The 13,305-nt window shown below is 40.0% G+C and overlaps 1 protein-coding gene across 1 annotated transcript in view, besides 1 other annotated feature; it reads left to right on the forward strand.

The window, feature by feature from the left end:
* The window catches only part of RAB39A (RAB39A, member RAS oncogene family), a 35,035-nt gene extending 30,959 nt beyond the window's left edge, over positions 1 to 4,076 (forward strand). The window contains exon 2 of the mRNA NM_017516.3: positions 2,540 to 4,076. Within this exon, the coding sequence (NP_059986.1) occupies positions 2,540 to 2,966 (427 nt within the window). The 3' untranslated portion in view covers positions 2,967 to 4,076. The remainder of the gene's footprint in view (positions 1 to 2,539) is intronic.
* Positions 2,239 to 2,298: an enhancer, noted in NCBI's record as "active region_5477". NCBI's record gives its function as "activates an Ori minimal core promoter by ATAC-STARR-seq in GM12878 lymphoblastoid cells {active_cell/tissue: GM12878}" and the evidence as "EXISTENCE:reporter gene assay evidence [ECO:0000049][PMID:35858748]".
* Positions 4,077 to 13,305: the final 9,229 nt, after the last annotated feature.

Raw genomic sequence — 13,305 nt, forward strand, 5'->3', positions numbered from 1 at the left:
AAATTAGTTATCCCTCAAAGTTAAAATATAGCAACTGCATTATTCATAGCCTGCCAAAGATGGTGGGAGATTTTTCTTATTGTCAATTTCTTTTCTTTTTTTATTTTTAGAATCTAAGCATCGGGTTGGTGAAAAACTCAATTTCTCTATAATACTATAGTCCTTGACAAAAGTTTTTCAAAAATAGCCACTTGGGAATCTCTCTACTAGGAATTCTGAGGAGAAACAGGGAAGCAGGAGAAATAGAAAGAAAGAGGAGGTAAAATGGTTTGCACTCCCACAACAAAGCTATTTATGGCATCAGGGCACTGAACTGAGCTGTGATTTCAGCAATGAGGACAAGTAGGAAAGTATGACGGTAACAAATAACCCACTGGCCATTCACAAAGATCTTGGTGCCTCAGGCAAGTAGTCAGATGAGTTTGCTAAAAGACCATTGACAAACTGGAAACTGAGACTCATGGGATCTCTGGTTTATACAGCATTTAGCACTTTTCCTCTCCAATAAGGTTAATTAATCCAATATTGGCCGCGGTGGCTCACGCCTGTAATCCTAGCACTTTGGGAGGCCGAGGCAGGTGGATCACAAGGTCAAGAGATCGAGAGCATCTTGGCCAACATGGTGAAACCCTGTCTCCACTAAAAATACAAAAATTAGCTGGGGGTGGTGGCATGCGCCTATAGTCCCAGCTACTTGGGAGGCCAAGGCAGGAGAATTGCTTGAACCCAGGAGGCGGAGGTTGCAGTGAGCCAAGATCACGCCACTGCACTCCAGCCTGGGCGACAGAGCAAGACTCCATCTCAAAAAAAAAAAAAAAAATCCAATATAACAAACATTGTATGACATCTGTCATTTGCCATGCAGTATGATTGACATAACAGCAAATCCAGTCAGCATATCAAGAAAATTAAGATAATCATAATGGCAGAATGCCAGTGGTTCAGAGGAACTATAAGAAGAGTACCTAAGAAAGAGGTGAGTGGCAGGGAAGGCTGCTCAGATGGTATGATTATTGAGCTCACTATTGAAGCAGACATAGGAGTTTCTTAGACAGAAAAGGGGTAGAAGATATTCCAAATAGATAAAACAACATGTGGAGGGGCAAGAAACGTAAAACAGTATAGCCTTGACACCTTGCCTCATGATTCAGCCAGGAAACAGATGGCACAATTGTAGGTTAGCCGAAAAGAGTTTAATGAAGTGACTATTTCCAGAGATACAATCAGCATCAAGGATACTAATAAAGGATGGTGAAGCATTCAGAGCTAGCAACAGTGGGAAGCCATTGACCACCTGGTTGGAAGAGGAGAGGACAGAGAATGGTATTACCAGAACGTGGTGACAGCTGTAGCCATGGGAGAGGGTCCACCCTACAGAAACCCTGACTAGAAGCAGAGGAATACCACCACTGCTAAGCCACAGCCCAGCAGAAGCAAACAGAGGGATAAATACTCTGACTTCTCTTTCCTTCTGTCTCCAGCCAGCGCCTCCCATTGGCTGAACCCCCCTGCAAGCTGGAGGGCAAGGGAGTTTGGGAAAGCTTTTTGTGAAGGACAGCTTCCTCAGGCCTAGAGAAGGATGGAGACTAGATCTGGAGAGACATACAGAGAATCGTTAGCACACCTCAGATTCATATCCCAGGTCCATACAGTCTCCTGTTTCTTGAATAGGTGCAACACAAGACTGTACCTGTAACTAATACTGTGACAAGTCTGCTGTCTTCGTGAGTTTGGGCTGTTATAACAAATTACCACAGAATGGGGATTTAAACAACAGAAATTTAGTTCTCACAATTTTGGAAGCTGGAAGTGGATGATCAGGGAGATCCTGGTGCCAGCATGGTCAGGTTCCAGTGAGGGCCCTCTTCTGGGTTGCAGACAGCCACCTTGTATCCTCACATGGTAGAAAGAGGACTAGAGTGCTCTCTGGGGTATCTTTTTTTAAGGGCACTGGTCCCATTCACGAGGGTTCCACCCTCATGACCTAAATTACATCCCAAAGGCCCCTCCTCCTAATCCTAATACCACCACATTAGGGTTAGCATTTCAACATAAGAATTTGGGAGGGACACAGACATTCGATCCATACTACAGCCCTTGTTTCTTTTTCCTAAACTGATAGAGAGAAGAGTTCATTAAATTTTATGACAAGTGAGATTCTTAAGATCTAGTTTGTTGTACAACCTGTGCCCTTTACTCAGTCTTTCAATATGCTTATTTTTAACCACAATGATGTAATAATCTATCAGATTTTTGAAAGCAAAAACAAATAATCAGACAGTATGAGATGACATAGCATGTAAGTGCTTATTTGTCTAACTAAAAATAACTACTACTTTCGTGTTCTGTCAGTGTATGAAACTTGCGTATTAGTCCCATAGAATATTTTTGTTCACTTGAGATACCTCATATTTTATTTATAAATTCTAGTTAAATCATATTAAGATATCTTCAAATGTTATTATGGTGCTAGATTGTTGGAAGGAGAAGAAAAAGAACAAGTTGTCCTTATACAACCTTTTTTCTCTTCATTTTTCAGATCAATAACCCGATCTTATTACCGCAACTCAGTTGGTGGATTTTTAGTATTTGACATTACTAACCGACGATCTTTTGAACATGTGAAAGATTGGCTAGAAGAAGCAAAAATGTATGTACAGCCATTTCGGATTGTATTTCTGCTAGTGGGACATAAATGTGATTTAGCTTCACAACGTCAAGTTACAAGGGAAGAAGCTGAAAAACTGTCAGCAGACTGTGGAATGAAGTATATAGAAACCTCAGCAAAGGATGCTACAAATGTTGAAGAATCCTTCACAATCTTGACGAGAGACATATATGAACTTATTAAAAAGGGAGAAATTTGTATTCAGGATGGCTGGGAAGGGGTTAAAAGTGGTTTTGTTCCAAATACTGTGCATTCTTCTGAGGAAGCAGTAAAGCCCAGGAAAGAATGCTTCTGCTGACTTCAAACATGCTGAAGAACTAACAGGAACAGATTGGGTGTCAGTTCAGGATAAATACCAACATTAACAGCAGAATGATGCAATGAAAGAATTTAAAAAGGTTACAAACCCACACCAATACTATTTTATAAGGTATTTGATTCAGAGCATGATGCTTACTTGTTACACTACTAGATTGGGTATTTTGCTAAATTACCAAGCAAAGCAGACAATCTTTTTCTTGAAATTACCTCCATTCTTACTTTGTTAGCATACGCTGACCTTAGTGTCCAGATATGTCACTATTACTCATTTTTCTTGACAGTTCAAATGGATTTTTGTGCATATATAGTCAATTGAAAAGATTTTATCAGGAATTACATTCTCTTGAGTTAATTAATATTGAATAGCAAAATGCATTTAAATATGCACTGTTCACCTGCAGAGTAAACAATCTCAGAAGTATCGACTAGGACGTAAATAGCAGTTCCTTATATAAAGTACCAGGTTTTTTCCCCATTCTCTGGAAATGTTTGTCCTCCCTTAATTTTGCCTCAACACAAGAAAATAAGTTTTATGTCCATTTTTGTTCCCTAATTTATTGCTTCTAAAAATGCATTATGTTTTACAAAGATATCTAAGGATCCAAGCAAACTACTTTAAGCAAATATTTGTAAAATTAAAAACGGAGGACCGCTCACCAAATGTTTGAAATGTTGCTTTTTTTTTTTGAGACAGGGTCTTGTTTTGTCACCCAGGCTGGAGTGCAGTGGGGCAATCTTGGCTCCCTGCAACCTCTGCTTCCTGGGTTCAGGTGATTGTCAGTACCTTACCTCAGCCTCCTGAGTAGCTGGAACTGCAGATGTGCGCCACCATGCCCGGCTAATTTTTGTATTATAAGTAGACACAGGGTTTCATAATGTTCCCCAGGCTGGTCTCCAACTCCTCGCCTCAAGCAATTCGCCCCCCTCGGCCTCCAAAGTGCTGGAATTATAGGCATGAGCTGCCGTGCCTGGACTATCAGCAGCACATGTTTTGCTGTTACGGTGTACTGTTCGTATTTAGACAAGAAGAACAAAATTTATTTATGTATTGACATTTTCAAAGAAAGTAAATGCAATTTACTTTGAACTATTGTCAAAATTATTAATATAGGTAAACATGGAATGTTTTTAATAATAGCATTTTTGTCCAAGTAAATTTCCAAATTTCCTAATTTCCAATATGAAAAGAATGCAGAAAAGATTTTTCTGGGGAAGAAAAATTGGTTAGATGCTTGATATATTTAGCCTTCAAATTGCATTTTACAATCTCATCAGTACAAGTTAAGATAGAATAATCAATTAAGACAGTAAAATGACTTTTGAGTTTCCTAATTTTTAACTTATTGATTAAACTCTCCTGGAAGGGATATTTTGATCATAGTGTCAAATATTTTATAATGTACATTTCTATTCTGTTCTGTAAACTACTCTTAATCACAAAAGAGTACCAAGTGAAGTTTTTTGGAATCATAAGGTTTTTACTCTTAACCTTTAGTTGCTTCATTTGTTTGAAAACCAAAGTGGCATAGTAGAAAGAATATTTAATAAGAAATCAGAAAACTTGGTTACCAATATCTAACCATGAGTAAGTCACTTGACCTCTCTAAGCACCATTTTTCTTATCTGTAAAATTAGGCTAATAACCCCATTTATTAGTGTGTTTCATGGAAAATTATTTTGAGAATCTAGTGAATGATGCAACAAACACTTTGTAAATAGAGTAAGCATTTTGAGATTGATATGCTGCTCATGGGCATACTATTATATTTACAATGGGTGAGAATTTTGTTTTCTCATGATTTTTCCTTTCGTTCCTATGCAGAGGGAGTAGAAAAAGATGTGTGTCTTCATGGACCCGTAGGAATTCTTGATTGATGCATATCCTCTGCTTATTTTTTTTGGCGGGGGTGGGGGGCGAGGGGGCCGAGGTCTTGTTCTGTTGACCAGGGTGGAGCGCAGTGGCATGATCACAGCTCACTGCATCCTGGACCTCCCAGTCTCAAGCGAGCCTCCCACTTTAGCCTTCTGCTAGCTGGGACCACAGGTGCACGCCACCACGCCTGGCTAATTTTTTATTTTCTATAGAGAAGGGGTCTCCCTATGTTGCCCAGGGTATAGGTCTCATACGCCAGGGCACAAGTCTCATATGCCAGGGCACAAGCAATCCTTCTGCCTCGGAGTCCCAAAGTCCTGGAATTACAGGCATGAGCCCCTGCGCCCGCTTCCTCTGCTTTTTTTACCCTGAGCTATTGTTCCTGCAAAGTGGAAATAATAGAGAGGGACGTTCCTGCAGACTTAACCCAATCAAAAGTCACGTTTGTGCTTTTTGTGCATCTTTGAAGTAAATATTTAATTGTATTTTCAAATACTTGTACATTTTCTGGGTTCATGTATTTTTAATTGTGCTTATGGAGAGATTATAAATTATAACTATATAAGGTATGACTATTTATATTGTCAGCATTTTCTTGATATCATTAGGTTAATTTCACATGAGTTCAAACCGTAATTAACCAAATGAGAAAATACTTGTCCCCCAAAATGTGAAGTAGTCCATTTTACTGTTACAGTTTTCAATATTATATGACAATTTCCCATCAGTCCAAAATGGCATAAACCCCAACACTGAAAATTTAGCAGTTGAAAGTACAGTCACCTGTGCCTACTTCTAAAGTTAAATAGCTAAAACATAAAATATGATTTAAATTTCAGTGGACACCCTTTATAATACTAATGTCAGGAGAGACTAATATTTGGGCTGAAGGATATCATGTGTTCCAAAATTTAAACCAGAGCTAAAGAACTAGAAGAAACAAATAGGAAGGCAGGGCCCAAAATTCAAGGCATGAACAGAAGGAAGCCTAGAACTCGTCTCCTAGCACCTTGTTCACCACACTGTGCTTGGTGTGTGTATGTTGGGTGGAGGGAGGGGAAGGGAGGGAGAGGATGTCAAGAAAAGGGGAAATGTGTTCTAACTGAATCCACAAAATACTAAAATAGGGTTAAATAATTTTTATATTATAGAGGAGCTATTTATGGTAAAATAATAGTAAAGTGAACAACGATTACTGCAAAAATCTGAGTGCTTGTACAAGATTGCCAAACATCTGTCTAACCTTAGCCAGTTATCTTTATGCATTTATATATGTATATAATAGCTGACCTATTTTCTTACACATCGTTATAGAGAATATGGATAACGATGCCAAAATAGTAAAAATATTTGCTCCAGGCAAAATGCTTTTACCAAGTTTCTTAGAAATCAAATATCCTTGATTTTATATTAAAGTTACTTTATTTAAAATTTAATTTAAATTTTAAAATGTAAAACTAGTAAATGATGTAGCTAATTACTAAATAGTTTAAGTAAATGTGGTTTTTTTGTTTTGTTTTGTTTTTTGTTTGTTTGTTTTTTTTGGGACGGAGTCTGGTTCTGTCTCCCAGGCTGGAATGCAGTGGTGCAAACTCAGGTCACTGCAACCTCCACCTCCTGGGTTCAAACAATTCTCCTGCCTCAGCTTCCTGAGCAGCTAGGATTACAGGCGTGCACCACCACATCCAGCTGATTATTATTATTATTATTATTATTATTATTATTATTATTTTGTTTTGAGACGGAGTTTCGCTCTTGTTGCCCAGGCTGGAGTGCAATAGCGCGATCTTGGCTCACCGCAAGCTTCGCCTACTGGGTTCAAGCAATTCTCCTGCCTCAGCCTACCGAGTAGCTGGGATTACAGGCATGCGCCACCATGCCCGACTAATTTTGTTTTGTTTTGTTTTTTTAAGTAGAGATGGGGTTTCTCCATGTTGGTCAGGCTGGTCTCAAACTCCGGACCTCAGGTGATCCACCCGCCTCAGCCTCCCACAGTGCTGGGATTACAGGCATGAGCCACCGGTGCCTGGCTGTAAATGTGATTTTTTTTTTAAAGAAATAATAACAGTCCAATTCTTATCGTAAACTTGTCCCTGATGGAAACTGCTCATCTTGAGCTGCATTCACACTCCCAGTTCATGTAGTGATGTGATAGTAAGTATAAGCCAAAATGTTTAATCAGAATGTTTTTTAATGTGGCTTTTATATGCATAATAGTGGCAAACAAGATTTCCTGAGCCTGGAAACTGGAGAGTTTATTCTAGATTTCCAAAAGTCTCAAGCATTCCATACTTTTTGTGTGTGGCAACCAAAACAGTCTTTTATATTATTGTTAAGATAACTTTACCGGAACAAAGTCTTTCTATCCAACTTTACGTCATTAAAAAATGAATCTATGGATTAATAAAATCATTTTAAGAGTATTTTTGTCAGATTTTATACTGCCCTTGGTTCAGTTAAGAACAAAGCTTTCAAAGCAGCTTTAAAGAGTGCACTGTATTTGAATAATTTACTGGCCGGATGCGGTGGCTCACGCCTGTAATCCCAGCACTTTGGGAGGCCGAGGCGGGCGGATCACGAGGTCAGGAGATCGAGACCATCCTGGCTAACACGGTGAGACCCCGTCTCTACCAAAAATACAGAAAAAATACAAAAAATTAGCCGGGCGTGTTGGTGGGCGCCTGTAGTCCCAGCTACTCGGGAGGCTGAGGCAGGAGAATGGGGTGAACCTGGGAGGTGGAGCCTGCAGTGAGCCGAGATCACGCCACTGCACTCCAGCCTGGGCGACAGAGCAAGACTCCGTCTCAAAAAAAAAGAATAATTTCTTTAGGTCTCACACAGTGAAAAGAACTCGCAAGACTAAAGACCCATTGATAAACTAACTTATCTGTTTCTCAGTAACTACCTAGAAAGATTTCACTTGGACATGCAAAGGAAACATGTAATCTTTAAGAAAAAACAGAAAGATCCTCTTTCAGCATGGGGAGCTGAAAAAAGAAAAAACCGAAAGACTACAAAGGTTTTACTTTTTATTTGTTTTTTAGAGACAGGGTCTTGTTCTGTCGCCTAGGCTGTAGTGCAGTGGCACAGTGATAGGTCGTGGGAGCCTCAAACTCCTGGCCTCAAGCGATCCTCCCACCCCAGCCTCCCAGAGTGCTGGGATGACAGGCATGAGTCACCACGCCCAGCCTATAAAGGCTTTAATCTTAGATTCTATGTATTTTAAATGGTAGGATACAATCCCAACCAGAAGCTAACTCTTGGAAATTTCACAGCTGATAAATAGACATCTCTGCTTCAGAATCTTTCTTAACTGAATGTTTTCACCAAATCTTTCTGAGCTACTGATCTTCACTTGATCTTAAAATAACAAACTGATCTGAACCTTAATGAACTGCTGCATGACCTGGTGTTTCTATACTGCTAATGACTGATGCAAGTAGACACATGAGTGATGAGCTGTGACAATCTATATCAATCATTACACAATCTAGTTCACTTACTGCACATAATCATGGTAGAAAATAAATGAAAACAAAATTTTAAGGTATAAAAAATTAGTGTACCTCATTATTATTTCTGGGTAAATTTTTTGTCTTTTAAAAAATAGTGCCTAAAACATTGTCTTATCTATGTGACATTCAGTGACTACTAATTGATGGTTATTGTGTTGAATTACTCCTATTAAATGTGGGTTCCACATACTTGGTTTCAATTTATACATTCCATGGAAGAATAGACATGTTTTATTATCATCATCTCTTGGCATTTTTTTTCAGGATAACAGACAATGGAAGTAGGATAAGTGTAAACTTTTTGAAGTATGTTATTAATGTTATTTGATTTTAAATAATGAATAAAAGAATGAGAATGAGAACTATGATTGTCATAGAATTATGGTATCCATCTTTTTTTTTTTTTTTTTTTTTTTTTTTTTGGAGCGGTAGCAAGGTTTATTGTGAAGAGCAAAAGAACAAAGATTCCACAGCGTGGAAGGGGACCCCAGCAGGTTGCTTCACGGTATCCATCTTTAACAAGCCATCTTTGGTGGTGCTTTTAAAATAGAAACAACTATTTAACTGCAATTTTGTGTGTATGTATTCACAAATGAAGGGCAAAAAAGAATCAATTTGAGATCCACAATACTTTACATATTACATCATACCATGGTGGAATGTGGGGTAGAACCCCATAATCAGACATTAATATTTGTACAGCAAATATATGAATATTCACACCATAAGAGATAAGATCTATAAATAACCTGTCATTAGTTCGGGTCAGGTTTTTGTTGCCAAATGAGTTGTAAAAAGAATCTTTGATTTTTCAAAGCTTTTTGGATTTCAGAATTGCAGAAAAGGGTCATGTACTATGTACTATGCCTTGTACTATGCTTTAACAGATGTTTCAAAATTTGTAACTTTCCTCTACTTGGCTCATCTTTGTCATGCTTCAACCTTGCACGTAGTGGGAGCTTATGAAATTTTGAATTGAGCTGTTAAATCACACAGAAAATATTTATACCTTCTGCATAAGCAGTTAACTATGTAAAATGTTTACAACAGTGCTTGGCACATAATTATATTATTATAATTATTATTTTTGAGACAGAGTTTTGCACTTGTTGCCCAGGCTGGAGTGCAGTGACGCGATCTCGGCTCACTGCAACCTCTGCCTCCCGGGTTCAAGTGATTCTCCTGCCTCAGCCTCCTGAGTAGGTGGGATTACAGGTGCCCACCACTACATCCAGCTAATTTTTTGTATTTTTAGTAGAGACAGGGTTTCACCATGTTGGCCAGGCTGATCTTGAACTCCTGACCTAAGGTGATCCACCTGCCTCGGCCTCCCAAAGTGCTGGGATTACAGGCGTAAGCCACTCCTCCCGGCCCTGTTTTATTTTTAGTATCATTCTTATTATAATCACTAAATTGTCAAGAAGCTAAGCTTAATCCTTATTGTTGGCTAGAAACTTGATAATGGCTCTCTGGCTAGTTCATTTTAAGTGGTCATGACTCCTTGAAATGGCCTGATTCTTAGAGAAGAATACTTCAGTAGTGCCCTAAAGGACATAGAGCTCCTGGGGATTGCTGGTCATCAACAACAGCATCTGACCAGATGGACAAGGGCTTGAAGGAGTGTCCCAACAGCAGTACTGCAAATTCACCAGCAGGAAGAGTTAGTGCATGTACCCAGTGTGGTAAGGACTGTGGGTCAGAGAACTAGGCTTTTAGTTTGCATAAAATGATTATCACTAGCATCATTTTCTAAAAGTTTTTTTTTTTTTGGTAACAGCTTTGACATATAACTTACATGCCATACAATTAAATCATTTAAAATGTACAATTCAGTGTGTGTTTGTCCACTTGTGCATTGCTTTAAAGAAATACCAGGCTGGGCACAGTGGCTCATGCCTGTAATCCCAACACTTTGGGAGGTTGAGGCAAAAGGATCACTTGAGGCCAGGAGTTCAAGACAAGCGAGGGCAGCATAGTGAGATCCCATCTCTACAAAATTTTTTTTTAAAAGTAGCTGGGCATAGTGGCACACACCTCTGGTCCCAGCTCCTTCGGAGGCTGGAACCCACCAGGCCCAACCTCCAACATTTAGATTACATTTCTACGTGAGATTTGGAGGGGACAAAATACCCAAACCACATCACAGTGGTTTTTAGTAAATTCAGTTGTGCAACCATCAACATAATCTATTTTAAAACATTTTCATGACCTCAAAGAGAAATCCCTGTACCTTTAGCTATCATCCCAACAGTCTTCATCCCCCCACTGTACCCTACCCAGCACCAGAGTCCTAAACAACCATTAATCTATATACTTGCCTATACTGGATATTTCACATAGATGGCAGGTAGGAGGTGGGACTCAACTTGGAAGCGGGGCTTGAACACCGGACCAAATTGAGTACTAGCTCAAACAGGGACTGGGTAGAAGCAGCTTTCCATAAGACACACCCACCAGTGTGCCATGTCAATTTACCATTGCCATAGCAACACCTGGAATTTACTGCCTCTTTCCATGGCAATAACCGGGAAGTTACCTCGCTTTTCCTAGAAATTTCTGTATGATCTGCCCCTTAATTTGCATGTAATTAAAAGTGAGTGTAAATATGACTGCAGACCTGCCTATGAGCTGCTTCTCTGGGCACGTTTGCCTATGAGGTAGCCCTGCTCTGCAAAGAGCAGTAGCTTTGCTGTTGCAGCCCACCACTGCTTCAATACAAGTTACTAACACCTCGCCCTTGAATTCTTTACTGAGTGAAGCCAAGAAACTGCGTGGACTAAGACCCAATTTGGGGGCTTGCTGGTCCTACATCAGATGGAGTCATATAGTGTGTGGCCTTTTGTGACCAGCTGCTTTCAATTAGCATAATGTTTTCAAAGTAGGAGCACCTGACTGGGCGGGGTGGCTCATACCTGTAATCCCAACACTTTGGGAGGCCAAAGCGGGTGGATCGTCTGAAGTCAGAAGTTCGAGACCAGCCTTGCCAACATGGCAAAATCTCTTCTCTACTAAAAACACAAAATTAGCTGGGTGTGGTGGCGTATGCCTGTAATCCCAGCTACTTGGGAGGCTGAGGCAGGAGAATCACTTGAACCCGGGAGGCGGAAGTTGTAGTGAGCCGAGATCACGCCATTGCACTCCAGCCTGGGCGACAGAGCAAGACTCCATTTCAAAATAAATAAATAAATAAGTCAAAGTAGTAGCATCATTTTAATTAAAAATTTTCCCATTATGTAATAAATACTAGTTCATTGTACAACATTTGGAAAATACAGAAACATAGAAAGAGAGAAATCGTCATTAGACTAGGTCCAGCTAATTATTTTTTGTAGAGATGGGGTCTCCCTATCTATGTTGCCCAGGCTGGTCTGGAACTCATGGGCTCAAGCAATTCTCCCACTTCAGCCTCCCACAGTGCTGTGAATACAGACATCAGCCACCATGCCTGGCCCAAAAAATCATTTATTTACTTCCAATAATAGACATTAAGATTGTTTTCAGAGCCAGGCATGGTTTCTCATGTCTGTAATCCCAGCACTTTGGGACACCAAGGGGAGGGGGGGCGGGGATTGCTTGAGCCCAGGAGTTCCGGCAGTACAGGGAGACCCCATCTCTAAAAAAAAAAAAAAAAAAAAATTAGCAGGGCACGCTGGCACACACCTGTGGTCCCAGATGCTTGGAAGGCTGAGGTGGGAGGATCACTTGAGTCTGGGAGGTTGAGGCTGCAGTGAGCCGATATTGCGCCACTGCACTCCAGCCTGGGTCACAATGAGAAACTGTCTTAAAAAAAAAAAAATAAGAACATTTGTTTCCCTCAGATCCTCATTAATACTTAATAATGGCAAAACCTGGTATATTGACAAATGATGGGCAAAAAAATCCCATTTAATTTACATTTTTCTGTTCTTCTGAGTACATTAGCTTTCATAAAATGTATTGATCATTTGTATTCCTTTGATGAATTGTCTAATTGTATCCTTTTCCAATTTTCTATTGGATTGTTAGAATTTTTCTTATTGATTTTTTAGGAATATCCACTATACTACGGAGAGAAATACTTTGTTTTGTATGTTGAAAGTATTCTCTTCCAGCCTGTTAAGACTTGTTTATGCTATCTTTTGTTGTGAAGTTTTCATTTTCAGGCATCTCAAGTCTATTTTTTTCCCTTGTGTCTTCAAGGACTGTGTCTTCATTAGGACCTTCTTCCCCAGCCCCAAATTATAAAATACTGTCCCATATCTTGTTTTTTATATTTATACTTTTAGATAGCAGAATTTTTTTTAATTTTTAAATTTTTAAATATATTTTTTGAGACAGGGTCTTGCTCTGTCATCCAGGCTGGAGTATAGTAGCACGATCTTGGCTCGCCACAGCCAACCTGGGCTCAAGCAATTCTCCCACCTTAGCCTACTGAGTAGCTGGGACTACAGGCGCATGCCACCACACCCAGATAATTTTCCTTAATTTTTTGAAGAGACAGGGTTTTGCCATGTTGGCCAGGCTGGTCTGGAACTCCTGGGCTCAAGCGACCCACCCGCCTTGGCCTCCCAAAGTGCTGGGATTACAGGAATGAGCTACTGTGCTTGGCCCAGAACTTATTTATATATGGTACAATATAGAGGGATTTTTTCTTTTCTTTTTTTTGATTCGGAGTCTCACTCTGTCGCCCAGGCTGGAGTGAAGTGGCATAATCTCAACTCACTGCAACCTCTGCCCCACTAGGTTCAAGGAATTCTCCTGCCTCAGCCTCCTGAGTAGCTAGGACTACAGGTGCACACCACCACACCCAGCTAATTTTTGTACTTTTAGTGGAGACAGGGTTTCACCAAGTTGGCCAGGGTGGTCTCGAACGCCTGACCTCAGGTGATCCACCTGCCTCAGCCTCCCAAAGTGCTGGGATTACAAGCATGAGCCACCGTGCCCAGCCG

This window comes from Homo sapiens, chromosome 11, assembly GCF_000001405.40.
Source record: "Homo sapiens chromosome 11, GRCh38.p14 Primary Assembly".
In the NCBI taxonomy this organism is placed as follows: Eukaryota; Metazoa; Chordata; class Mammalia; order Primates; family Hominidae; genus Homo; species Homo sapiens.